The following is a 27,389-nucleotide window of genomic DNA, read 5'->3' as shown; positions in this document are numbered from 1 at the left end:
GTTACTGCCAAATACGTCCATTTAAGACAGCAAAGCTGCCTGGCTGCAGGCTTCGCTTTCTGGCATATGCAGATCATGAAAATACCAAGTGTTAATCTCCCAACTACCTAATTCTATGACTGCTGTGAACTTCAGTGGAAGGAGAGAAGGGTGCAGTATCCTTTGATCTCCTCTTCATGCCAAGGAAGATGTATTTTCCAATGGATTTATCCTGTCTATCCACAGAGCACCCCGAATAACTGAAACTTTGGTAGTTCATTTCCGATCATCTCAGCCACCTTCAAGGTCCAGGAGAACTTTCTAGAAAAAGTTAATTGTGTATTTGAACAGGGCCTAACTCCTTCAGAGTTTTAGCAGAGATTATATTGCAAAGTATGGGGATGGAGGTTTTCTTCTGGTGAGCCTAATGCTGACAGGATAGCCCTTTTCAGTTCCAACTGGATGTGATGAGCCTGTCATATTTCCAGCCCCTCAATTTAAGGAGGTGCCGGGGGGCACCTAAAATTTTCCTTCCTACTCCTCTAGGTCACCAAATCCGAGCTTCAGGTTCTCCTGGGTTAGGTTTGTCCTCAGGGCAAAAGCAGCTTCAGGACTTTCGCAACTCTCTGGGTTCCTCGTCTCTCTTTTTTTTTTTCTTTTTTTTTTCTTTTTGAGATGGAGTCCTGCTCTGTCCCCCAGGCTAGAGTGCAGTGTCACGATCTCGGCTCACTGCAACCTTTGCCTCCTGGGTTCAAGTGATTCTCCTGCCTCAGCCTCCCGAGTAGCTGGGACTACAGGCGCCTGCCACCGCGTCTGGGTTCCTCTTCTCTAGCGAATTTCTTACTATTGTATCTGAGCTTTCAAGATTTTTAAAAAATGCATTTTACATAGCATTTTCAGTTGTTTTCAGCGGGAGGGCTGTTCAAGTAACCTCCCCTATTCAATTCCAGGAAAAGAAAGTATTCTCTGTTTTATTTTCTTAATAACACGTATCAAACCTGGAATGTCCCCCTTACTCTTGGTTATTCTCTTGCCCTTCCGATGAGAATATGCAATCCATTGGAGTCTGATTTGATCATTTGAATGTCCCCAAGGCCTAGAATAGTGCCTGGCATGTGGTAGGCATGTAATAAATATTGCGAAAGATAATAATGATGATAATAATAGTGAAATAATAACAACAGTAACCGATCTTGACCATGAGACACATAGAGTTTTAGCCGAAGCTCTGCATCAGTCTCCTCCTTTCTCCAAACCATCCTACTTGTGCTGGGCGATTAACCCTCTCAGAGCAGAGCTCTCAACTTTTAATGGGTCCCCATTGCCTTTCCCAGAAAGATCACATTTCTTTTGCTTGTTAGCCATACGAGTCTGGGCATGATTTTCTATTATTTTTGTGTCCTGTGTTCCCCTCAAACCAGGCTACTTGGCATTTCCCAAGCATGCAACACAACTTTGCTCTCACCAATTTCCCTGCCTTGATTGTTCTTCCCATCATGTCTCCTTTCTGTTTCAAACTCACTAATCATTTGACACACCATCAAATTCCACTTCCTCTAAGATTCCATCTCTTGTTCCCTGACAAGAAATAATGTCCCTTTCTTTAAACCCCCAGAGCGTTTGAGGTTTCCTTTTATTTCTTATCACATGTGCTTTGCATTATTGCTAGTTATTTACATGGATTAATGCCTCCCCACAAGACTTAATGGTGCTTTGCATATATCAGACACTCAGTAAATATGAGTAGAATAAGTGGATCATGAAAACAGGCTTAGATTATGGATTACAATCAATATCAGGAATCCTTGTTTATTATAGCCAGAAAAACCTTATTTTGCAGGCTCTTATGGGCTTCTGAATACAGTTAGTTGAGCTGGGCAGTAGCCATGCTAATGGACACATGTCATTTTAAATTATTATTATGAGGCTATGTTGGACACAGTGGCTCATGCCTACACTCCCGGCACTTTGGGAGGCCAAAGTGGGAGGATTGTTTGAGCCCAGGAGTTTTGAGACCAGTCTGGGCAACACAGCGAGACTCCGCCTCTACAAAAAATGAAAAAATTAGCTACTCAGAAGGCTGAGGTGGGAGGATAGCTTGAGCCCAGAAGGTTGGAAGCTGCATTGAGCCAAGATTGGGCAACTACATTCCAGCCTGGGTAACAGAGCAAGACCCTGTCTCTAAAAGAAAAAAAATAATTATTTGTATGCTCCAGTTGTTTGACATCTTTTACAAAATGGTGGGGGGGTCTGATGTTCTATTGCTTTTTTGTTTTTGTTTTTCTCACCTTTTTTAGAGAATACAGAACTAAAAGTTAATGCTAATAACACCCACACCAAATTAACTTTGACTCATATTTCTGATCAGCAGTTCCTGTACCCTTGTTGAATTTTTCATTTGTACTATTACTACACTGAAAGCCACCACTCTAAAAAACAGAAACCCGAGATAGCATTTCTCTTGTTTCTGGAGGCTGGGTTCTAAAGATGAAGACTTCTAAGTTATAAAATTGAGCATTTGAAATCCTACGTCTTCAACATAATGTGATGTTTTTCCTTTGAAATAGGAGTTGCCAACTTTCAGTTGAGTTAAGGCAACAGAACAGACTGCATTCTCATATCTGGTTGACAACTAAGAATCTTCTAAGTTCTACAGAAAAATATTTGTGGTCCATGTATTCCATCTGGGACTTTTTCAAATGACTTATACAAGGAGGGAGAAATACTACTATTAATAAATCAATTACTACTAATACTCCTACATCAATCGAGGAGATAAACTGGACTAGGGAGAATTTTGGGGGGCCTCCCTCATGTTCAGGAGAAAAGTTTGAGTCATTAAAGAAAACACCCTCGCAAATAATATGTTTTGAGTTGACAAGCTGACGACTAAGGGAAAACAAATCCTATAAAAGGAACTCTTTGACACATCACAAAAACCCAGCCAGGAGAAGAGAACCGAAGGGAACACATGAAAGAAATGTGAAGTTAAATTTCGGAAAGACAACCTCTCTGAGACAGGAGTATCCTAGGCCAAGAAATCAAAATTTGTTGCCAGAAAACTGAGCTGGAACTCAGGAGATTCTAAATGAAGGAACTCGGTGATTGGGGGATGCCAGATGATGCTTGTAGATTTTCAGTTCACTGAGGTTAAATCAGGTAATGTCTCATAGCTCCTCAAGCCTGACATCTTGTTGATAATGTTGGAGGCATACTGGTGTGGAATGTGCTGCCTCCAAACAAGGTTGCATGCCTCACATCCATTCTTACCATAATCACTGCCAGAAATCCAGGCCTCTCTGATCACCCAGGATCACACACCATACCGCTGTGTTCATCCCAATGGGACCCAATCCCCACCAACCCTCCATTGACCCCCCAGGAGTCACCCCTCTACAATCAGCAAACCCCTCCAGCTCTACCTCATTCCTTCGGGAGAGCCTAGCTGACCCTGAGAATGTTCCACACTGCAGTCCGACCCATGAGAGACTGTTTCTCTCTCACACATCCCCGCTTGGATCTCAGGACCAGAAACAAATTTGTGTGTTCCTGAGTCACATTACCACTTGCAGACCATGTCTCTCCCTCCCTCACACCACTCACATGCTCACATGTCACCTCTTCCTCCTCCTAATGAATGTCACACACAGACTTCCAGGATTTTTCCCGCTACCCACCCCCCACACACACACACACATACACACACTCATGTACTAAGGGTTTTCACTCCTGGCTGCCTGTCTTCCTTTCCACCCCAACTCTTGCAGCATTCGTGGTCACTTCAGTGTTCAGGGAGATGGCACATCCACTACACTGGCCTCTCCGGCTCTTTACTCAATAGTCTTGACAGCAGCCACCCACAGGCAGGTTACACCCTGCACTGTGTCATTATATTCTCCCCAGTCTCTCAATCTGTTTTAGTCCATTTCATGTTGCTATAAAGGAATACATGAGGCTGGGTAATTTCTTTAAAAAAGGTTTATTTGGCTCACAGTTCTGCAGGCTATACAAGAAGCATGGGACCAGCATTTGCTCCTGGTGAGGCCTCAGGAAGCTTCCAGTCATGACAGAAAACCAGCATGTCACACAGCGAGAAAGGGAGAAAGAAAGAGAAGGAGGTACCAGACTCTTTATTTTATTTTGTTTATTTATTTTTAAATTTTATTTATTTTGAGACAGGGCCTTGCTCTGTCACCCAGGTTGGAGTGCAGTGGCACAATCATAGCTCACTGCAGCCTTGAGCTCCTGGGCTCAAGTGATCCTCCCACCTCAGCCTCTCGAGTAGCTGGGACTACAGGTGCACACCACCATACCAAACTAATTAAAAAAATTTTTTTTTGTAGAGATGAGATCTTGCTGTGTTGTCCAGGCTGGTCTCAAACTCTTGGCCTCAAGCAATCCTGCTTTGATCTCCCAAAGTGTTGGGATTACAAGGCATGAGCCACTGTGCCTGGTCCATGCCAGGCTCTTTACAGCAACCAGCTCTCACTTGAACTAATAGAGCAAGAACTCACTCATTACCTTGGGGACGGCACCAAGCCATTCATGAGAGATCTGCCCTGCCCCCATGACCCAAACACCTCCCATTACGCCCCACTTCCGAGACTGGAGATCAAATTCCAACATGAAATTTGGCAGGGACAAACATCCAAACTATATCAGATCCCATCCCCCTTACCCTCCACACCTTCCTGTTCCTCTCCTACTCCTGTTCACACACCTCCACCATAACCATCCTCCCACTCCATCCAGACCACTTCCAATCACTGTCAGCTGAAGGCCTTTATTTTTGTTTTTTTCACTTACAAAAGGGCAGACATGAAAGGGGCCTCTCCTCTCTTCCCACCCTCAAATCAACAAACCTATTAGCACCTGGCACCTTGTTCCCTCCTGTCTCACCTTCCCTGCTCATGCATTTGCTGTCCTGAAACAATGCTCTCTCTTTCTACTCAGGAGGGCTTTCCAAGGGCTTGCCAGTGTGTTTTAGTGCCCACCTCTCTGAGAAGAGCCCTTCCCCGATGATGTGGTGTGCTGGAGCTGGGTGATAGTGCCTCCCAGGGGCCAATGCTAGATTTTTCAGGAATTTTATGAGCTGTTTGACAACATGTTGGTAGCTTGATGTTAGCCATGGTGAGAGTATTCATATTACCACAAATGGAGGCTTTGACTTTCCAGAGGGTGCATTGCTAAACATTTACCAGCATACCCGTTTTATTCCTCAGCCTCCTACTGCTGCCTATGCCTTTCTCTGCCACCCTGTCACCTCAAAACTAACTGTTGCAAGAGCTGTCAACAATGTTGACTTCCCATCACCTGTGTGCTCATCAAACCCACTCTAACCCAGCTTCTGTCCTCAGACTTCTCCAAACGACTCCTGTCCAAGCCGCTTAACACCTCCATATTGCAAATCCAAATAACCGGCTTTCTGTTTTTATCTTACTTGACCTTTGCACTGGATTTACCTAACTACTTCCTCACTTTCCTCCTGGCTTCCGAAGCTCCACTGCTCTGTCTCCTTCCTCTTTGGCTGTTCTTTTTCAGAACCTGTTGCAGGCTTCTCTCTGCCTCCCCCTGCATGGATGCACAACTCTAAAGGTTGGCTTTCCAGGGCTGGCTCTAGCCTCTCTTCTCCCCTCTATGCTCTCTTCTGGGTGACAGCATCCTTTCTAATGAGGATGCCATTTCTATGCTAAGGATCTCCAAAAGGACACCCAATCCTCTCCAATCCCCCGACTTCTCCATCCAGCTTCCTATAGGACAAATCCACTTGGAGGCATGCTTTGCTTTATTTTTTAAAAATTAATATATCATAGTTGTACAAATTTGGCAGGTACATGTGATATTTTGATACATGTACACAATGTGTGTGATCGAAACAGGCAACTGCCATATCCATCACCTCAAACATTTATTTTTTCTTTGTGTTGGGAACATTACAAATCTCCTCTCACAGCCATTTTGAAATATACAATAAATGGTTGTTAACTCTAATTTTCCTACTGTACTATCAAATGCTAGGACTTATTCCTTTGACCTAACTATATTTTGGTGGCTGCTAGCCAACTTCTCTTCATCCACCCCTTCCCTTCCCTGCCTCTGGTACCCACCATTCTGCTCTCTACCTCCCTGAGGTCCACTTTCTGGCATGGTTTGCTTTAAATGTAAAATGTCCAAAGTGGAGCCCTTGATTCCCTCACCATCTGGCAAACCAGTTCCTCTCTAGCCCCAGCAATCCCATCTCACTCACTGGTGACACCATTCAGCCATCTACGGGAGCCAGAATTGGGGGTACACTGTGATTCCTGCCTCGTTCTTGCCTCCACATCCAATGTCTCGGTAGGGCCTGTCATTTCCACGCCCTGGGTATGCTTGCATCTCAGCTCCCTCCTTTTCCCCCACGGCTGCGCATCATCTCAGCCGCCCTCAGCTCGCCTGTCTCTCGCAACGGCCTCCTTACTGGTCTAGATTCCACTGCTGCCTCCACTTCATATATTTACCACGAAACAACCAGAGTCAACTCTTGCAAAAGAAAATGCCGGAAATTAAAGTCACTTTTAACAACATTAAGGATACACCAAAAAGTAATTATTTCACTATTGAAATTGCCAATTTGTAAAGCTATAGATAAAACTATCAGTAAAACCGTTTTTAAAATTACATAGAAATGAACGAATTTATTTCAGGTAAGAAAGTATAACAGAAAAATATTTCCCATTTGATGGAAATTAATCTTTTAAGTGTATAGAATTTACATAGGTACCATTTAATCCCCTTTCACTTAAAGAAATGATTTCCATTACCTTCACTTAAGCCTTGAAATTGTAGCTGCCATTTTTAAAACAGCAATAGACGCAAGCAGAATTTTACAATTCAAGTCTTAACAAAATTTTTGCAAATGATCACCAAGGCCTTCCCCATAGTAGCTATGGCAATAAAACTTCTGAATGTAAGATCTGCCTGAAATGATCTAATCAAAAAATTACCAACAAGAATTCATCCTTTGCTGTGGCATAAAAAGAAAATTAAAACGTTACACTTACATGCCTGTGGACTTTTGTAAATCTACTTTTAAAAATAAATCAGCCAGGCATGGTGGCTCACACCTGTAATCCCAGCACCTTGGGAGGCCAAGGCAGGTGGATCACCTGAGGTCAGGTGTTCAAGACTAGGCTGGTCAACATGGTGAAACCCTGTCTCTACTAAAAATACAAAAATTAACCAGATGTGGTGGTGCATACCTGAAGCCCAGCTACTCTGGAGGCTGAGGCAGGAGAATCGCTTGAACCTGGGAGGTGGAGGTTGCAGTGAGCTGAGATTGTGCCACTGCACTCCAGCCTGGGCGACAGAGCAAGACTCTTGTCTCAAAAAAAAAAAAATAATAATAATAATCAGCTATTCCCCTTAACCCTTCCTATACATTCTGGAAATTAAAATGGCTTTTAACAATTTCAAAGATACATGGGAAAGTCATTGTTTAATCTTTGAAATAGTCAATAACTTTTCTTTTGAATTCACAGTTTATCTATTAACACAAAAGCCTCCTGAGTCAGACAATCTGTTTTAAAAAACAGAAAACAGATCGTCTTATTACACGGCCTAAAAACCTCCCATCACACCTTGGATGAGACCCATATGCTTTCCTACAAGGTTCTGCATGATCTAATTTTTCTTTGTCAACTTCTTCTCATCCTTCTTTCCTTCTAACTTTATTATTTATTATTATTATTTAGCACCAGGTCCATTGACACATCTCTGTAACTTTCTAAGCATCAGATACAGCAGCTTCCTCTTGGTCCCTGGAACACCCTCTATTTTTCTCGTTAATGGTGGGGTTAGTAGGGGGTTAGTAGAGTGGGAGGGAGTGAGGGGTTTTGCTTGATTTTTGTTTTTGCCTCAGGGCCTTTGCACAAGCTCTTCTCTCTGTCCAAAGACACACTCCCTTACACTTTCTGCTGACTTCATCTTATCTTTCAGGGCTTATCTCAAATACCATCTTCCTAGAATAGCCCAGCAGGAAAAGGGCCTGATAGAGCAATGATGGGTAGATTAGTAAACAGCACGTCAGCTCTCTCTAAAGTAAGTAAATACGTCTCTTATATTTACTGTCTGTCTGGTAGAGCAGCACTTCTTTGTATCTGTTGTTTATTCATCAGTACTTTGAGGTTAGGGATTAGCAGTCAGGATAGCACTATGCAGTGAACATTTATAACAATTAGCATGCTTACTATGTTCCAGGAATTGTGCCTTATGATCCAGCCCTTACCCACCTGCTCAAGCACAGTGGCTTCACCTGGATAATCCTCACAGTAACTTGAGAAGTCAACATTGTTATCTCCATTTTACAGGTAATAAAACAGAATGCGAAGTAGCTTGTCCAAAGTCCCAGGATAGCAAGTAACAGAGCTGGGAATGCAGGCAGTCCAAGCTCAGAATCTACTTCCTGAAGCACTAAATAGACTCCAGTGCACCCAAAGTCCTTATTAGGTCCTAGGATACAAAATAAAAATAGACAGTTGCCGAGCTCAAGGAATTTTAGGTTACAGGAAAGACAATGCAGATGAACAATTATAGTAGAATGATAACTGCTCTGGTGGTGGAATGAACAACGTGCAGTTAGAACTCAGAGAAAGGGCCAGGTGCGGTGGCTCACGCCTGTAATCCCAGCACTTTGGGAGGCCAAGGCGGGTGGATCACCTGAGGTCAGGAGTTTGGGACCAGCCTGGGGAACATGGTGAAACCCCATCTATATTAAAAATACAAAAATTAGCTGGGCATGGTGGCGGGCGCCTGTAATCCCAGCTACTTGGGAGGCTGAGGCAGGAAAATCGCTTGAACCTGGGAGGCAGAGGTTGCAGTGAGCCAAGATCATGCCACTGCATTCCAGCCTGGGCAACAGAGTGAGACTCTGTCTCAAAAAAAAAAAAAAAAAAAAAGAACTCAGAGAAAGGATTCCTGAAGTCAGCCCTCAGGTGAAATGACCCTGTAAATCTCTGACTTGGAGGGTGAGTGGGAGATTGCCAGGTGTCAATGGGGAGACAACAATGGGGAAAGAGAAGGGGACCAGCATATTCAGAAGGTAGGAAGTTTAGGGAACTGAAGTAGGTCCATGTTTTCAAGAGCTTAAAGTATATTATAGGAGAGCAGTAGAGATGCACCAAAAGGCAGGTAAGGGCTAGATCATAAGGACCTCTGTCATGCAATGGATGGTTGGGTTTCACCTGTGGATGATGGGGAGCCAAAGAATCACTTGCAGGGTAAGGCTCTGATCTGACTGGAACTAATAGAAAAACGAATGGCTGTAATAGAAATCTGGAAGACAAGAGGAAGGTGATATGGTTTGGCAGTGTCCCCACCCAAATCTCATCTTGAATTCCCATGTGTTGTGGGAGGGAACTGGTGGGAGGTAATTGAATCATGGGGGCAGGTCTTTCCTGTGCTGTTCTCATGAGAGAAAATAAGTCTCACGAGATCTGATGGTACTATAAGGGGGAGTTTCCCTGCCCAATCTCTCTTTGCCTGCCGCCATCCATGTGACTTGCTCCTCCTTGTCTTCCATCATGATCGTGAGGCCTCCCTAGCCATGTGGAACTATAGGTCATTAAACCTCTTTCTTTTGCAAATTGCCCGGTCTCAGGTATGTCTTTATCAGCAGCATTAAAACGGACTAATACAGAAGGGTTGTCTCCAGGGGCTCATTTTCACTGAGTGTTGAAAACAAAGCTATAACCCATCCTCTACCAACTCTAACATTTACTGACAGAATTTCATACTTTTTCACTGGTTTAACTGATCACATGATATTGTTAACTCAGCTTCCCCAGGGAGCTGCCTCATTGGCGTTGGGTTGGTCATCACTTGGCTGAGCACCTAGGGGCCAGAAATCATTGCCAGAGAAGCTCTCAGGAGTTGGCCTGGCTTGGCAGTGTTTGGCTGACCTTTCCATCCTCTGCTCTCCCACACTGGTGAATGTTGGTCATGGCCTGTGTCTTAGGTCAAGTTTCCTAGAAGCTGAGCTGAGCAGGAGATTCTTGTACAAGTGGTATTTTGGGAGCACACTCTCATAAGGGACCTGAAGGGAGAAGAGAGAAGTAGGAAATAGAAGCAGAGCAGCTAAGAAAAGATGCCATGTCTTAGTCAACTTGAGCTGCTACAACAAATTACCACAGACTGAGGACTCACACAATACACATTTATTTCTCACAGTGTTGGAAGCTGGAAGTTCAAGATCAGAGTGCCAGCATAGGCAGGCTCTGGTGAGGGCTCTCTTCCTGGCTTGCAGACTGCCACCTTCTTGCTGTGTCCTTACATGGAGAAAAGGGAGCAAGCTAGTTCTCTGGCCTCTTCCTATAAGGGCACTAATCCCATTAACAGGGGATCCACCTTTATGACCCAATTACCTCCCTAATACCATCATCACATTGGGATTAGAGCTTCAACATATTAATTTTGGGAGGGCACAAGCATTCAGTCTGTTGCATGTGGTTTCAGCTGGAGTCCAGCCTCAGCTTGATCCCGCAGTTGCTCTGGAACATAAATGGCACCACCACAGAGTTTTTTCCTCTTGGAAGATAGGTGTCTGGGCTTTTGTATCCCTGTATCCATCAGTCATTGGTAGAGGGTGCCTTGATGGGATTGAAAAGGAGGGACAGGAAATCTCGCAGACATTGAGGTGGCTCCCGTCTGTGTGGGATGTAGTTGGGAGCTGGCAGCCATTGACACTGAACAGCTGGGCTTTGGTGCATCCCCCGGTAAGAGAGATCTGGGTGTAGAACAAAAGGTTAAAGATCATCTTAGGGGAGAATTTCTCACCTCGGCACTTTGAGGGCTGGACAATTTTTTGTTGGTGGGAGGAGCTGTCCTGTGCATTGGAGGATATTTAGCAGCATCCCTGGTCTCTACCTGCTGGATGCCAGTAGCACCTTACCACCATCACCACCCCAATCTCTAGACATCACCAAACATCCCCCGGGGCACAAAATTGCCCTCCCCTCCCAAACCACCATACCATTCTATGATGTCATTGGCCAACCCATGGAGAAAGCTCTTGGCAATTTCACGGCCTGTTCACCAGGGGTGTAGCAGCTTACACGCATTGTGAGTTGAATGAGTGTGTCCACGTGTGTGTAGAGAGAAGCCTCAAGCTTCTCTGAATATGACTTGCCAAACCAAGACTATGTCAAGCCAGAATGAAGAGGAGGATCAGAGGATCAGGGGCATTACCAGAATTAAATGACTTAGTGAACATGGGGGTTAAGGGAGAGATAGACTGTGAAGTTTCTGGCTTTGACAAATGCAAAGGAGTTCAAGTTTGGAGGGGGAAAGAACAAGTAAGATTCGGATTCATTTAGTTCGAAGCGCCGTTAGCTCCCCTACAGATATGTCTGGAAGGCACATGTGTGTCTGGGTCTGGGCTAGGCTGGGGTGCTCAATCTGGGAGTCAGCACTGTCAAAGTCAAGGGCACAATATAATTGTTTAGGGAAGGTACCTGTTGAGAAAGAATAGGGCTGAGAAAAGAGCTGTGGGAAATTTCACATTTAGGGAATAGAAGGAGTATGAGACAGTCCCAAAAGGGACTAACATGGTACACATAGAGAAGTAGAAGGAGAACCAGGGGAGAGTGAAGCCATGGATCATGGAAACAGGTAGGAGAAACTTTTGATCTAAAAAAGAAGGTACAGTTTCTTAGGCTGTCATCAGACTTCACTTCCCAAGGATGCTAGGGTTTCATAAATTATCACAAATATTGTTACATAAATATGTTAATGAAAGTTCAATCCCATCATATGTGCATCAGAACAGTGATGCAAAGCCATATGATTTATCAGTATCACCCGGGGAGCTTGCTAAAGCACAAGCTCCTGCACTAGAAGAAATTGTTGCTTAAAAGAATCCCGTGATTCAACTCATGGAATGGGAGGAAATATTTGCAAGTCATATATCTGATAAGAGCATAATTCCTGGAATATATGAAGAACTCCTACAACTCAACAACAAAAAACAAACAACCCAATTAAAAATTGGGCAAAGGCCTTGAATAGGCATTTTGCCAAAAAAGATATATAAATGGCCAACAAGCACATGGAAAGATGTTCAACCTGACTAGTCAATGGGGAAATGCAAATCAAAACCACAATGACATACCACTTCACAGCCATTAGGAGAGCTGCTATCAAAAATATAAGTCAATAAAAGAAAGAAAATAACAAACATTGACAAGGATGCGCAAAAATTAAAACCCTTGTGCACTGCTGATGGGAATGTTAAATGGTACAGCCACTGTGGAAAACAGTATGAAGGTTCCTCAAATAATTAGAAACAGAATTACCATAGGATCCAGCAATTGCACTTCTGGCTATATACCCAAAAGAATAAAAGCAGGATCTTGAAGAGATATTTGTACACTCATGTTCACAGCAGCATTATTCACACTAGCCAAAAGGCTGAAGTGACCCAAGTATCCATAGACAGATGAATAGATAAAATGTGGCAGAAACACACAATGGGATATTCAGCCTTAAAGGTGAAGGAAATTCTGACACATACTACAACATAAATGAACCTTGAGGTTATTTTGCTAAGTGAAATAAGCCAGTCACAAAAGAACAAATGCTGTATGAGTTCACTCATATGAGGTCCTTAGAGAAGTCAAAAATCATCCACAGAAAGTGAAATGGTACCAAAAACGGGCTGGCAGGGAGGGAACAATGGGGAGTTCATATTTAATGGGCATGGAGTTTCAGTTCCATGAGACAGATGAGTTCTGAAGACTGGTTGCACAGCAATATGAATAAACAACACTATGGAGCTGTACACTTAAAAACGGTTATGATGGCAAAAAAAAGAATCCAATGAAAAATTATTTGTAGAGAAAACTCACTTGACAAAATAAAAGTAAAATAACTGCTCTATAAATATAAATTGGTATATTTTCATATTTGCCTAAAGCCAGCTACAGTATTCTAGCAATTTCTGGCAGTAAATTATTTAAATTTTGGAGGGGGGTGTTTTATGATCTATTTTTTCTATAATCGACTTGAAAAGACAATTCCTAGATTAGAAAATTAGAAGGAACTATGGATCCTTGGGAATGGCACTTTCATTTTTAGAATCCTCTGCTGCCCCAAGATGAGGGATTTTCCTTCAGGCAGTGTTCCCAGCCAGGCCTTGCCTATGCAGATCCTCAGAACAATGTTTGCGTTTTTCAATACTGGGTTGTCTGCAGGGAGTTTCCTGAATGAAGATACAGTTCCAGGATGAATAAGACTCATCAAAAAGCTGACCTGATATAGTGGCACTGCTTCCCCCAGGCATGGCCACGCCCTCCCATACCACCTCTAAGTCACAAGGGATCACAGAGGGGAGAGTTCCTCACACGGACAGCAGAGCACCTTCGAGAGGAACAGAGTGCTTACTCGTGTCCAGTTCATCTCTGTACAATTTGACTTGGCTGAAAAACAAAACTTCCACCCAGATTCATTCAACATTTATTCGATATCAACTGTTATGTGAGTCACCAGATGATAGCTATTGAAAATGAGGACAGAACTTTTTTCAAGTAGTTTTACTGAGGTATAATTTACATACAGCCGGGCACGGTGGTAACTGTAATCTCAGCTACTTGGGAGGCTGAGGTAAGAGGATGGCTTCAGCCCGGTTCGAGACCAGCTTGGGCAATATACTGAAATCCCCACCTCTAAAAATGTAAAATAAAATAAAACACATAGAGTAAAATTTCCCCTCTTAGCGTGCAGTTCTATGAGTTTGACAGATGTATATCATTGTATAACCAGCACCATGATCAAGATATAGAATATTTCCATCACCCCAAATAGTTCTCTTGTGCTCCTTTGCAGTCAAGCCCTGCTCATACCACCAGTTCCTGGCAACCACTAATCTGATTTTTGTACCTGTAGTTCTGTGTTTTCCAAATTTCACAAAAACAAAATCATAAAGTATGAGAGGTACATAGCTTTTGTGTCTGGCTTCTTTCACTTAGCATAATGCTTGTGAGACTCACCCATATCTTTGCATGTGTCACCAGTTCACCTCCTTTTTAGCACTGAGGAGTAGTCCATTGTGTGGATGTGCTACAATTTATTTATCCATTCACTAGCTGACAAACATTCAAATTCTTTCCGATTTTCAGCATTATAAATGAAGCTGCTACAAACACTTGCATATAGGTCTTTGTGTGGACATAAGTTTCCATTTCTTGTCGAAAAATACCTAGGAGTGGGGTAGCTTAGTCATTTGGAAAGCACATATTTAAATTTACAAGAAACTGTCAAATTGTTTTCTCAAATGGTTGTGCCCTTTGACATTCCTACCAGCAGTGTCTTAATTATTCAAACCCACAGTATTCATGAACATTATATCATTAGCAATGAGTGGTTATGTGTTGAAACTTTCCAATCTGTAAACCCAGAATTGTGCCTTTCTCAGTTGTTTACATGATGCATACTTTTCTTCATAAAACAGTAATATAAAAGTATCTTAATGAGGCCGGGCGCCGTGGCTCACGCCTGTAATCCCAGCACTTTGGGAGGTCAAGGCGGGCGGATCACGAGGTCAGGAGATCAAGACCATCCTGGCTAACACAGTGAAACCCCGTCTCTACTAAAAGTACAAAAAATTAGCCGGGCCTGGTGGCGGGCACCTGTAGCCCCAGCTACTTGGGAGGCTGAGGCACGAGAACAGCGTGAACCCAGGAGGCGGAGCTTGCAGTGAGCCGAGTTTGCGCCACTGCACTCCAGCCTGGGCAACAGAGCGAGACTCCAACTCAAAGAAAAAAAAAAAATCTTAATGATCTTATTAGGTTTAAGAAATTACAGCAAGGCAGAGTTTTGCTTGTTTGGCCCATAGCAAAACAGAAATATGCAGATAATGGAATTTACATGGGTGGTGATAGAAGAGGTCTTAAACACTGTCCCCGAAGGGATGCTTGCCTCCTATCTTACTATGTAATGAGTCATCCAGGTTCCACTGTAATCTGACTTCTTTTGGGGGATCTTACTTCCTCCTGAGGCAGCTGTATCAATCAGAAGTCTGTCTGTTACCAAAAGATACAGTCACCAGGAACGGTGTAAACTGTAGATAATCACTCTCATTTTCAGGCTTCTCTGGCAGGCCCTGTCGTGTTGGGACCACTTTGACTATGTGATAGGTTTATTATTGTTGGTGGGGCACAGGTGTGTGTGTTTGAGTCCAGTCGGTTTCTCTGAAGTTCTTGCCCATGGGTCTTTCCTCGGGGCATGGGAGCCTACCTCATTTCAATTCTTATTTTATCTGACATCTTTTCATACATTTCAAACATGAAAGCAGCGCTCATGTTTCCTAAGGTATCTCCTCTTTTCCAAACTAAACATCACTTATGTCTCTTTTTTTTTCCAGGTTTTAAAAATAACCTTTTTTTTTAAGTTAATATGTGCATTATAGAAAACCGAAAAACGCAAGAAGCAAAGAACAAAGTCATCCACAATCACAAGCAGTTTACAGTTTGACGAGTCTTTCCAGGTCCTGTGTGTGTGTAGACACAACATCCAATTTTATGGGACTGAGACTGTACAGTATATATCATGCTTTTTCACACATCATGAATATTTACCAACTCAAAATCCCACAGCTATAGGAGAATTTTGATAACCAAGAATAGACTACACCAACTCACTCTGTTAGAAAAAAATGTAATCCTGCCTTTCTTGAGACAAAAACTTCACAGAAGACCAAAATGGCAACACACCTCTATATAAAAACATTGGCAGAGTTCTGATTAAAATACTGCAATGCTCGATTTAAAATGAAACACACAGCCGGGCGCGGTGGCTCACACCGGGCGAATCACGAGTCAGGAGATCAAGACCATCCTGGCTAACACGGTGAAACCCCGTCTCTACTAAAAATACAAAAACAAAATTAGCCGGGCGTGGTGGCGGGCGCCTGTGGTCCCAGCTACTTGGGAGGCTGAGGGAGGAGAATGGAGTGAACCCGGGAGGCGGAGCTTGCAGTGAGCCGAGATCGCGCCACTGCACTCCAGCCCGGGCGACAGAGCGAGACTCCGTCTCAAAGAAAAAAAAAAAAAAAGAAAGAAAGAAAAAGAAAGAAACACACAGCAAAAGAATCCACTAAGTATAGTGTTTCTAAGAGGATTCATTAGCAGATCCATACCATTAAAATATTAGCAAGAAGGTATGTGTCCACTGAATTACTTAATGTATTTCTACAGCACAGCCAAAAGAGATGCACACACATCGATGGCTATCATCAAAATGTAAATATGGACACATCTGTATACATCTTTCTTTATATACTTCTTTCTGTCCCTCTGCTGCCAACCCAATGAATAAGTCCTGACATACACTGCTCAGAGGTGGTTTAACAATTCCATATCCAAGATGCATCTTTTCTATCAGTTATAACCAAAAGATATTTACAAATTGATTAATTCACTAGCTCTACTTTTTATCATACATTATCAATCCAGGACATTCTTAGATGTTGCAAAATAATGAATTTTGTCCACAATAAACAGAGGCACTTTACTAAAAATGCTCATATAGACCTATGGTTATCATCTAAAACCATCTTCTAGATATGCAGATACTAGCGAAAAACCCTTCCGTTCACTCTTCCTCTTTCCCTCTTTCATCATCCCAGTGACTAAGTATAGGATGTCTAGCTCCAAAAGGTGGATTAACAGAGGTCACACCCAGACAGGCCTTCCTAAAAGCTAACAAAGAAGCATTTATAAAGGGATTGCTTTACTACCTCTACTTTTCACATTCTTTGAGCATTAGGACTTGTTTATCCTTTAACACACAACAATGTTAACTAAAATGCACGTGTAGAACAGTGGTGAGACCTCCTGAACTAATCCAACTCAAGGACACAGAACCCTTCTCCCTACATACCTCCTCCTCCCTGACCCACAGCCACCCAGTGAATAGTCAGCATACTCTCCAAAACATCAAGTTTAACAATTCCATTCTCAAATGCAACCACTCCTAGGAAAGAATGAAAAAAATGTTTAAAGAGTGTTATTTTAGCCCTCTTAACCTATGTTGTGCACTTTTAAACATCTAGAAAGACTAGATGTTTCAAATGGGACTTAAGTTTTCCACTATCTTCACAGTAGCATTGAATAAATAAATGGTGCATATACATAACACAAGCTATAATTTGAAAGTGTCTTCTAAATAGGAATATTCTGACCTAGAACCCTTTCCCTTCTGACCTCTGTCAACCCAGTGGACAGGTATAATCATCTGTAATGCTTAGAGGGGATTTTAACAACTTCACTTCTGTGTTTTTGAAAACAGTCTGCCCTATGAATCTTAACACAAAGTTACTCAATGTATTAGTTTACTAACTCTACTTTTGTCATACACTGGCAACGTCTTTAACATCGAGAAAGACTAGACATTGCAAATTAGGACTCCTTTGTCCACTTGTATACACTATATACACAGCACAGTAAGAGAAAACGCAGACATAAGGGACAATGGTCAGTGTGCCTCACCATAAACACACTGGTAGAAAGCCCTTTGCACTTTCTGCTCCTCCTTCCTTTTTGAACCAGCACAAATATAATAATGTGTACCACTCAAGGAAGTGGTTTGATCAATTTCCAAGAGACAATATTGCACATGAATCAAAAGGATATCTACAAAATGTGTTATTTACTACCTCTACTTTTAACATACTTTGTGCCCTTCTAAACATCTGGAAAGACTAGATGTTTCAAATACGGACTATATACTGTGTATATAGATACACAGTAGTGTTGAATAAACTACACACATGTAACAATGGTTATATCTTAAAGTGTCTTCTAAAGAGGAACATTCTAGTTTAGAATCCTTCATTCCTTTCAATTCCTCTCCACCACCAGCCTGGTAGATATAGGCACATGTGTCACTTAGAGCTGATGTTACCATTTCAATTCCAAAACTCCTTTTCAGAAGACAGCCTTTCTATGAATTTTAACAATGTGTACAAAATGTGTTAGTTTACTAACTACTTCTGTCATACAAGGCAATCTCTTACCTAGAGACTAGATATTATAAAATTAGGACTCGTTTGTCCAGTAACAGCTCAGAGGAGACCCACAGTGGGTAGCTCCTCTCCGTAGACAAGTCAGTCCAGTCCAGTGTTCAGCTCTCAGCAGAGAGGAGGCCCTGGAGAGGGTAGCTCCTCTCTGCTGCTGGTCCTCCAGACATCTGCTGCTCTAAGCAGAGAGGAGGTCCTGGAAAAGGCTTGCTCCTCACATCTGCTGCTCTCAGCAGAAAGGAGGCCCTGGAGAGTGATTGCTCCTTTCTGCAGCTGGTTGTCCTTCATCTCCAGCTATCAGCAGAGATGTAGGTCCTCTCTGCAGCTGGTCATCCCGGCCATGTCTCTCCATCCTCTCTGTCCTCTGCCCTGCTCTGGCTGACTCTGGGGCTTTCATGGGCCTCAGAGGGGGGAACTGCGTGCTGATTGGTCCATGGGCAGCCATGGACAGGCCCAGGAAAAAACACCATCAGTTTTCCCTCCAGTCCACAGGACTGGCAGCCCTGACCCCAGGCTTCAGGACTGCCCTGGCCTGAAGGTGGAGCTTCACTGGGGAGTTGCTCCCTTCTGCCCAGGAGCCTGTCTGCCTCCCACGGCCAGCCATGGTACCCAGGCTGCTGGCACCAAAGGGCACCTGCAGGTTGGCACCCAGCTGCCCTCAGTCCCCCTCAGCTTCTCCTCCCGAGCTCCTCCATTCCCAAAGTCCAGAGGGGGCCAAGGAAGCAGGGGGCTGGCACGTCAGCATTGCCCCCAGCGTGTGCACACCCTGCCAGGCAGTGACAGTGTCAGGGCTTGGCCCCAACTCTGAGATCAGAGCAGGGAGAGACCAGGCAATGGGAGTGGACTCCTCTGAGCCTGCAAGGGCAACAGGGCAGGGCTTCCCAGGATCCCCAAGAGTGCAGGAATGCCTGGGTCTGCAGCCCTGGTTTTGGCAGCTGCAGCTGTTGGGGGTGGCTAGTGGGATGGGGGGGTTGGGTTGGGATGGGGAGGTGGCTGGGGCTCCTACCTGCTCTGTGGAGCTGGAGGCCCAGATCCAAAGCCACAACTTGGGCGGCTGCAGCCCAGCCCAGGAGGGCGGGGCTCCTGCCTACTCCAGGCTCCCAAGAGCACAGGGGTGCCCGTGTTGCAGCAGCAGCTTGGGCAGACACAGTTGCATCTGCAGAGCTCCTGCCCTCCCAACTTGGAAGGAGCATGGCTCCCGCTTGTCCCTGGCTCCTGCTGGCTCTGTGGAGCACAGCACCCAATCGCTCTCCCTCACAGCCTAGGGCAGGGGCTACAGGTCCTCGCTGGGTCTTGGCTGGCATCTATGGCAAGGTCAATGTATCCATTGCTGCAAGCTCCCCCTGTGGCCCCGGCACTCAGAGGCGTCTGGAGCTTCCCCTTGCCTGGCATACAACCTGGCCAAGCATCATCGTGCAGCCCCCAGGGCAGCGGGTTGTGGGGGAAGTGGTGGGGGTGCTGCTTGCCTCCTCCCTGTGCCCTCCCTGCAGTGGCCTGTGTGATGGCAGTGGCCACACCAGACAGCTGGCTGCTGCCATCAAAACCCGCCACCAACTTGTTCCAGCACCCAACCCAGATGTCTCACACCGCGTGGCGGGCATGAGAAAGCTTGAGTAACATCTAGAAATCTAGACACTCTATATATCACTACTGAGCTAGGGGTCAGAGCATCCAAGAGAAATGAGAATATCAGCCTGCTATGAATTGTATTGAGTAAGAAGTTCCCCCACACTCTCACCGCATCCCCCCATTCTGAACCCCTGCTTTCACTAATCAAGGAACATTACATAAACTAATTCACATACAGCTAAAGATTATTGAAAAGACAGACTAGTATGAGCTCCTGGAGTGGCCCAGCTCACATGAACAGATTAATAATGTGTGTAAGTAAAGCATATACCCTATGCAGGGGAAATTGATGTGGGGGGTGCCTAAGCCTTAATGTAAGTTATAAATCTCATGTAGTGCAGTTTGGGCAGTGCTCAAGAGACTGTGAGAAAGACAGGTGTGAAGCTGAACTTCTTAAGTGATCCTGTTTGGGCAGTGGAGACCAGCAGCCTGAAAACTAGCTGAGTCTACAAAGTAAGACAGGGGTGAATCACAAAGGCCAGTCCTGCTGGGCCCAACCAGTTCACAGAAGGCAAAGGACTGCTTTGGTCACTCCAAATCCAGGTGGGAGAAATCAAGGGCTACCAGGTAAAAACCCTGTAGGTTTTTGGTTCTTCTCTAAGAGACAGGGTCTCACTCTGTTGCCCAGACTGGAGTGCAGTGGCACGACCATAGCTCACTGCAGCCTCGAATTCCTGGGCTCAAGCAGTCCTCCCACCTCAGCCTCCAGACTAGCAGGAACTACAGGCATGTGCCACCACGCTCCGCTAATTTTTAATTTTTTTGTGTGGAGATGGGGTCTTGCTGTGTTGCCCAGGCTGGTCTCAAACTCCTGGCCTCAAGCGATCCTCTTGCCTCTGCCTTCTAAAGCATGGGATTACAAGCGTGAACCACTACAGCCCGTATGTATTGTTAACAGACATTTTATTGTGCCCATGGAGTATCTGTAGTTCTCTGGTTTGGATTTTGGTGCTCCTCCCCTTCTTTTTAAACAGGGGTAGAGATTTCCTTTATATTAGAAATTGACATGAAACCACGGGTGTAAGGGTGGTTTGGGTCGCTGCCTGCTCTAATCCCAAGGAGCAAACCTTTGGGAAAAAGTTGTATCCTCGGAAAATTCTGCAGCCTCCTCGTCCAGAAAAGCCACTTGGTCTCCAAAAGGTTTCCTGCAGTGCTGGGGAAATGCGCCTCTTACCCAGAGAGGCAGCTGCCTATCGCTTTCAAGGACAAAGTTTGAACGTAGTGTGTGGTGTGGTGTGTGTGTCGCTCATTTCCACCGGGAGAAACCCCCACGGATAGTCACCAAAGGGAAGGAGACTGCATCTGATTTTCTCCGCCGGCCCAGGCTCCGTGCGGCAATTCTTCGGTTCTGTTGTTTACTTCGCCCCACCGCCCCCCACCTCCTAGTTTTTGTTCAGCCCGGGGAAGCCGCGCCGCAGCGCCTCAGATGTTATTTATCTTTTCCTGCGAGGGGCTTGTGACAGTCCAGGGTGTTGTGTATCCTGTGCGATTGTTTATCGCCCGGCCCATGCGGTGGCCTGAGCAGCCTCGCGCCGGCACTTCACGTACCGAACCCCGGGACTACGTGAGCCGGCGGAGGGCGGGGAGGTGGCGCTCGGGCGCCGGCGTGAACCCGCGTCCCCCGGAGCCCAGCGCCGTGTCCTCAGGCCCCGGCCCTGACCTCAGGGCGCTCAGGTGGAATGGCCCCGCAGCTGCGCGCTGCTCCCGCGCCCCCGCCTTGCCCCGCGGAAATCGCCCCCGACAGTCAACCCGACCGGGCGCGCGGCGCCCCCGGCCGGTCCCCGCCCGACCCCGCGCAGGGCACAGATCGGGGCGCACGCGTTACTCGTATCCGGTCACCCGCGGGTCAGGCCGGCCGAGCGGCTGGGCTCAGGGGGTACTCCTACGTGCGCAGCCGCCACCCGGCCTGGCCGCCCAGACGCCCCCGGGGGTTCGCGCCGGCCAGCCCAGCCCGAGCCTGGCGCCGCGCTGCGGCCGCTGCTCTCCACTCGGCTCCGCGGGCGCTCGGGGCTGGGCGGGTGCACTGGGGGCGCGGGGTGGGCAGCAGGCGGGTGGACATGGGGCGCGGGTTGGACAGTGAGCGGGTGGACAGGGGGCGCATGGACATGGGGCGCAGGGTGGACAGCGGGCGGGTGGACATGGGGCGCGGGATGAAGGGGGTGGACTGGACGCGGCGCAGGGTGGACGAGAGGCGTGGCACTTTCGAGTATGCATTTGCCCTTGGCTAGCTGCGGGTTCGAAACGAGCCTCTGGGGAGACTTTGGGGAGATTTTATTTTCTTTTCCCTTTCCCTTCTCCTTTCTTTTAAAAAATTTCCTCTTCTGTTCCATGCTTTTCTTTTCCCCCGTTTCCCCCTTTCTTTTTCTTTCTCTTTTTTCTTTTGAACGTTTTAGACAGCTAGGTCTCTTTTGCCACTTTGGGAGCCCGCCAGGGGAGCAGAGGCAGGGCAGGAAGGGACAGTGCCCTGCCTTTACCAGCCTATTCAGCCTCACACACACACACACACACTTTCACACTCACGCACTCATACACTCACGCACTCATACACACACGCACACACACCACACACACACCACTCATGCACAAACACACCTACTCACACAGACACAAACACACTACAGAGACACACATGCAGACACACACAGACACACACACCACAGAGACACACACACATACACACTCTCCACACACACACACCACACATGCACATACCTACCCACACAGATACACATACTACGGAGACACACATAGACACACTCCCACACACACCACACATATACACACACCCCCAACACACAATCTCACACACAGACGTACACCACACATGCACAAATACACCCACCCACACAGACACACACCTCACACAACCCTATGGGGAAGGATCAAACAAACGCGCTCACGGGGCCGGGGTCTGTTTTCTCAGGCGTCCTTCCCCATCGCCACATTGTTCGCGGGACAATGGGCTCCTGTGTCAGTCTTGTTGGCACCAGCGTTGTACGATGCAGGAAACAGCATTTCCTGTCGGCGCTGGAAAATTAACTTGGATCGTGCTTTTCCCTTTTTATTGAGAATCCGCACACACCCCGGGAAACCCAAGCTCCCGGCGAGGGGAGGGAGCGGCAGCAATAGACATCCCGAAGGCTCCCGCGGCGTCCGTCCCCTTCCCGCTCAGCTCCCGCTCCCGCTCCCGCTCCGCCAAAAGAGGAAGCCCCGGCCTTAAACAATGAGATGGGGCTGCTGTCTCAACCGTGACCCTCCCGCTGGGGCCATCGGGACCGACCGTGCCAAGCCTCCGAGCTCTCGATCTGTTGGGAAGGGGAACTTGGCAGAAGGGGCTCCCGACTGCCCAGAAACCCCTACCTCTGCAGCTGCTAGCTGTCTGCTCAGAGCATGCCAAGCTTGGGCAATGGGCTGACTTGTCTAGGTCGTCCTCACATTTACAAGTCTGAACAACATTTGGCCCCACAAAACTACTAGTTAATATTCTCCTATTCCACTAAGTACTTCTATTTTGGTATTGGTATCATTCTGCCCTGAATTGCTGCATATAGTGTCCTGGGTGCTCTAGTGGAAGAGCACTAGATTGCAAACTCGGAGAGGCAGGGAAAGGTCTATTTTGTTTCTGCATTTTCTGGGCTTAGAGGCCTGGGCATTTCACATAGTAGGTTCTGTATCGCTATAAATGTATATGAAATATGTAGACATTCTTGCCTCTCCTGGACACCCCTACCACCATATCTTGTTCCCGTTTGCACGCTGGGAACACTATCATCTGACTGTTGAGCATACACACAGAATTTGCATGTATATATGACATGCACACTGTTTTATATGTACCACATGTGTGTACACACAAACATGCTACACACATACAATATGTGTTTAGTAACTGCAATACCACCACCATCCCACGCTCCCCACCCCACCCTCGATGAGAAAGAAAATGGAAGCTATGTGTGAAATCTGTCATAGATACGCTGTCCTTCTCGTTAATCTCTTTTTGCCACAGACAAACTCTTCAAACATTTTGTGTGATTTCAATTTTGGAAAATGTTACTTCCCATCACATTTTAAACCTTCAAGTTTAGAGTTTATCATCATGACTACCAAAAGAGAGAAGGTCGAAGAAGTGCTTTGCGGACTTTCTAAGCTATATATTGGTAGGGCATAACTAGTATTGGAATTAGAGATCAGTTCTTAGCAGTGGCCTCTGACCCTTCAGATTTAAATCTTTGCTTTTTGCCTGACCACCCTCAGCTGTCCTTCCCATCTTCCCCAGCTGCAAGACTTAAGGATCTGTATAACAATATTTAAATATTTAAATCCCCTGGGGAAGCACACTAAAAGGAACCCTCTGGGACTCTTTATAATGTGAAAATCATCCTCTAATTGCTTCACTCCCAGTTGCTTAGTCCTCTGCCCTTTGCCCAACAGAGCTGAGTCAAGCCAGCAGTAAAAGCCAAGGCCACTTAGTGCTTCTTGAACGGATGAATGAATGAATAAATGATCATATTCTATTTTTTGTTTACATGTAATCATGTTATTTATATTTATTTATTTATTGAAATGGAGTTTAGCTCTTGTTGCCCAGGCTGGAGTGCAATGGCACCATCTCTGCTCATCGCAACCTCCACCTTCTGGGTTCAAGCAATTATCCTGCCTCAGCCTCCCCAGTAGCTGGGATTACAGGCATGCGCCACCACACCCGGCTAATTTTATATTTTTAGTACAGATGGGGTTTCTCCATGTTGGTCAGGCTGGTCTCGAACTCCTGACCTCAGGTAATCCGCCCACCTCAGCCTCCCAAAGTGCTGGGATTACAGGCATGAGCAACCGCACCCGGCGTTATTTTATTTATAAGCTTAGGGGAAAAAATTATAGCTCCTGGTCTGTAGAAATAGATTTGGGGAAAACGAAGTGGAACAATCCCTAAATAGTATAAATTGGGCATATCCTAATTGTTTAATACATATCTTTAATAATGAAAAATGTAGTTCACTCCTATGCTTAGCCAAGATGAAGTGAGAGTTAGGGCAGCAGAGTGTATAAGACCCTGTGATATTGTGAGTTCACCTTCTTGGGAGAGTTCTCTCTGTTTTTGCAAAATGCTTGCTGCCCCTGAGAGCTGTGTTGCTGTGGCTTTTACATATAATGTGCTACTTTGATTGGAACCTACTGTAGTTGTTATCTTTTTATATATGTGTCCCAACTAGATTGCGAGCCCCTTAAAGGATCGCCTTATATCTGCAAGGCTTGCACTGTTTTCTGCCCCTAGAAATAGACAAATAAGTGTCTGAGGGTGACGATGGGACTAGCCTGGTCATCCATGTGAAATGAATTCAGAGGTCAAAAGTCATCATGGAGCAAATTAAATGATGTCTAATGCCCTCCAGTGGCAGTTTTCCAATGGCATTCCATGGATGTGCTTCAAGGGATCAGTGGAGGAGAGTCTTCTACTACAGCAATTTTAGATTTGAGGTCCAGCTGCTCTGGACATTTTTGCAAACATCTACCTCTGAAGAATGACAGCAATGGGCAAAGGCAGGTTGCAATCCCAAACCAATGAATAGTGGAGGAAGATATTCAGGAGTGAACTTCCCCTATCATCAACTCTTATTTTTTTTCTGAACATAGTTTATATTCTATGAATGAGAAAGAAAAGAAAACGTTTCAGAGAAGAAATGCTCAGAGTTGGAGGGGAGTGGGGAAAAGGGACTCTTTGCATCTTTTGTTCTCTTCAACAGAAATAGCTGTCTGTCCCCAGCAGCTCCAGATGCCTGTCTCCATCTGTCCACACACCCTACTGGCATTTCCAATTCACTTTATCGCTGCCAGCACAGAGGCAGGTTAGTCCCCACAGTCTTCTCACAAAAAGATTAGCAGAACTTAAACTTAACAAGGCAGAGGCTTATTGAGTTGTGTTTCTTTGATAACCTTCAGCTAGGAGGTCTCCAAGGCTCCTCAGCATCTAGCACCTGAAGAATGGTTTCAGCTCGCCTTCACCTTGCCTTCTGGTGGGCTATTCATGTTGGTTTACCTTGTGTAGGTTACTATGGACCTTTTATTTTCCCACGCATTGCTGAAACTATCAGGAAAGCTGTTCCTTGTCAATAGAGGTCTATATGAAATAAATCAGTTCGAGGACTTAACGACAAACTATCCCTTGCTACTTGAGGTGTCCTCCTCCCTCCCCATTTCCCCGCTCTATTCCTAGACCTCAGATCTGGTCCTGGTTTCCTGCCCAGTGATCTTCTTCTAGGGCCTTTGCCAGGTCCCTTTTTCTAGATCTTTCATCCTGAGGCTGGGGACTGGTTGCTAGCCCCACAGCTGCCTCCTGCCTACTATTACACTTTCCTATGGAATATGCCCACCCAGATTTCTTAGCATGCTGTTCTGCCCACATTGTCGGACATCCTTTTATTCATCTTAGACTCCTTTTCCCATTGCTGATTAATTTCCTGGACTTGAAAAGATTATGATCAACTGTGGACGCCCCTCTGACATGAGCATCGTCGGCAGGGTCGCCTCTCCCGGCCTCTGTTCCGCTCCTTTGCTGGGGCCTTCCTCTTTTTCACTTGCTGCTGCTTTTGCAACGGTCTGACCACTTCCCCCCTGGGACCCAGTGGCAAGCTCAAAAATCTCTCTGAACAAAGGTAGATCTACGTTAAAAAAAAAAAAATCAATAGAGAGTCCTAGTTATGGCACCTTAAAAAAAAGAAACATGTGAATCCTAATGAGGTTTGAAATACCTAGGGATGTTTGCGATGGCCTTGCGGGTTTGTTTGCGATCGCCTTGCAGGTTTGGGTCTGCAAGGCTAGATTCCAGTCAGTTTGTTTCCTCCTGGAATCCTGCTCACAGTTTAAGCAAGCTGCCACATTGGAAGCAGGTGAGCAGTAGTACCTTAGATTTTTCAATGCCTAGATTCTCCCGTAAGTAAAAATCACTGAGTCCAAGACTATAGCATGCCTTTAATAAATTACACTTATAAAAGATGAAGTTCTTCTCATTTATTTATTTATTTATTTATTTATTTTTGAGGCAGGGTCTCACTGTCATTTCCCGGGCTGGAGTGCAGTGTTGTGATCTGGGCTCACTGCAGCCCCAACTTCCTGGGCTCAAGAGATCTGCCCACCTCAGCCTCCTGAGTAGCTGTGACTACAGGCACGCGCCACCCCTCCCGGCTAATTTTTTGTATTTTTAGTAGAGATGAGGTTGCGCCAGGCTGGTCTCGAACTCCTAGGTTCAAGCGATCCACCCACCTCCACCTCCCAAAATGTTGAGATTACAGGCATGAGCCACCACGCTGGGCCAATGATGTTCTTAATATAGAAACTCAATGTAGTAAACAACATTCTTTAAAAATCTTAAACATGAATTTTTTTTTTTTTTTTTAGGCAAGGTCTCACTCTGGAATGCAGTGGTAAGATCTCAGCTCACTGCAACCTCTGCCTCCCGGGTTCAAGTGATCCTCCCACCACAGCCTCTTGAATAGCTGGGATTACGGGCACATGCCACCACACCCAACTAATTTTTGTATTTTTAGTAGACGTGGGGTTTCACCATGTTGGCTAGGCTGATCTTGAACAGTTGACCTCAAGTGATCCCCCTGCCTTGGCCTCGAGAAGTGCTGGGATTATAGATGTGAGCCACCGCACCCAGCCAATAAAGTTCTTAATATAGAAATCCAATGTAGTAAACATTCTTTAAAAATCTTAAATGTGAATTTTTTTAATT

At 45.5% G+C, this 27,389-nt stretch overlaps 1 long non-coding RNA gene across 1 annotated transcript, besides 5 other annotated features; it reads right to left on the bottom strand.

The window, feature by feature from the left end:
• Positions 1-10,154: 10,154 nt before the first annotated feature.
• On the bottom strand, positions 10,155-22,745 carry LOC124903142 (uncharacterized). The gene is made up of 2 exons (XR_007063737.1): positions 22,555-22,745; positions 10,155-10,738 (listed from the first exon to the last, which is right to left on the bottom strand). It is a non-coding gene; the product is annotated as an uncharacterized LOC124903142 (long non-coding RNA).
• Positions 19,402-19,481: an enhancer, noted in NCBI's record as "active region_7516". NCBI's record gives its function as "activates an Ori minimal core promoter by ATAC-STARR-seq in GM12878 lymphoblastoid cells {active_cell/tissue: GM12878}" and the evidence as "EXISTENCE:reporter gene assay evidence [ECO:0000049][PMID:35858748]".
• Positions 19,492-19,541: an enhancer, noted in NCBI's record as "active region_7515". NCBI's record gives its function as "activates an Ori minimal core promoter by ATAC-STARR-seq in GM12878 lymphoblastoid cells {active_cell/tissue: GM12878}" and the evidence as "EXISTENCE:reporter gene assay evidence [ECO:0000049][PMID:35858748]".
• Positions 21,087-21,236: a silencer, noted in NCBI's record as "silent region_5216". NCBI's record gives its function as "represses an Ori minimal core promoter by ATAC-STARR-seq in GM12878 lymphoblastoid cells {active_cell/tissue: GM12878}" and the evidence as "EXISTENCE:reporter gene assay evidence [ECO:0000049][PMID:35858748]".
• Positions 21,287-21,656: a silencer, noted in NCBI's record as "silent region_5215". NCBI's record gives its function as "represses an Ori minimal core promoter by ATAC-STARR-seq in GM12878 lymphoblastoid cells {active_cell/tissue: GM12878}" and the evidence as "EXISTENCE:reporter gene assay evidence [ECO:0000049][PMID:35858748]".
• Positions 22,719-23,013: a silencer, noted in NCBI's record as "tiled region #7947; HepG2 Repressive non-DNase unmatched - State 20:ReprD, and K562 Repressive non-DNase unmatched - State 7:EnhWF". NCBI's record gives its function as "represses a minimal TATA promoter and a strong SV40 promoter by Sharpr-MPRA in HepG2 and K562 cells {active_cell/tissue: HepG2 | K562}" and the evidence as "EXISTENCE:reporter gene assay evidence [ECO:0000049][PMID:27701403]".

This window comes from Homo sapiens, chromosome 13, assembly GCF_000001405.40.
Source record: "Homo sapiens chromosome 13, GRCh38.p14 Primary Assembly".
NCBI lineage: Eukaryota > Metazoa > Chordata > Mammalia > Primates > Hominidae > Homo > Homo sapiens.
This window is presented reverse-complemented; position numbering and strand designations above follow the sequence as displayed.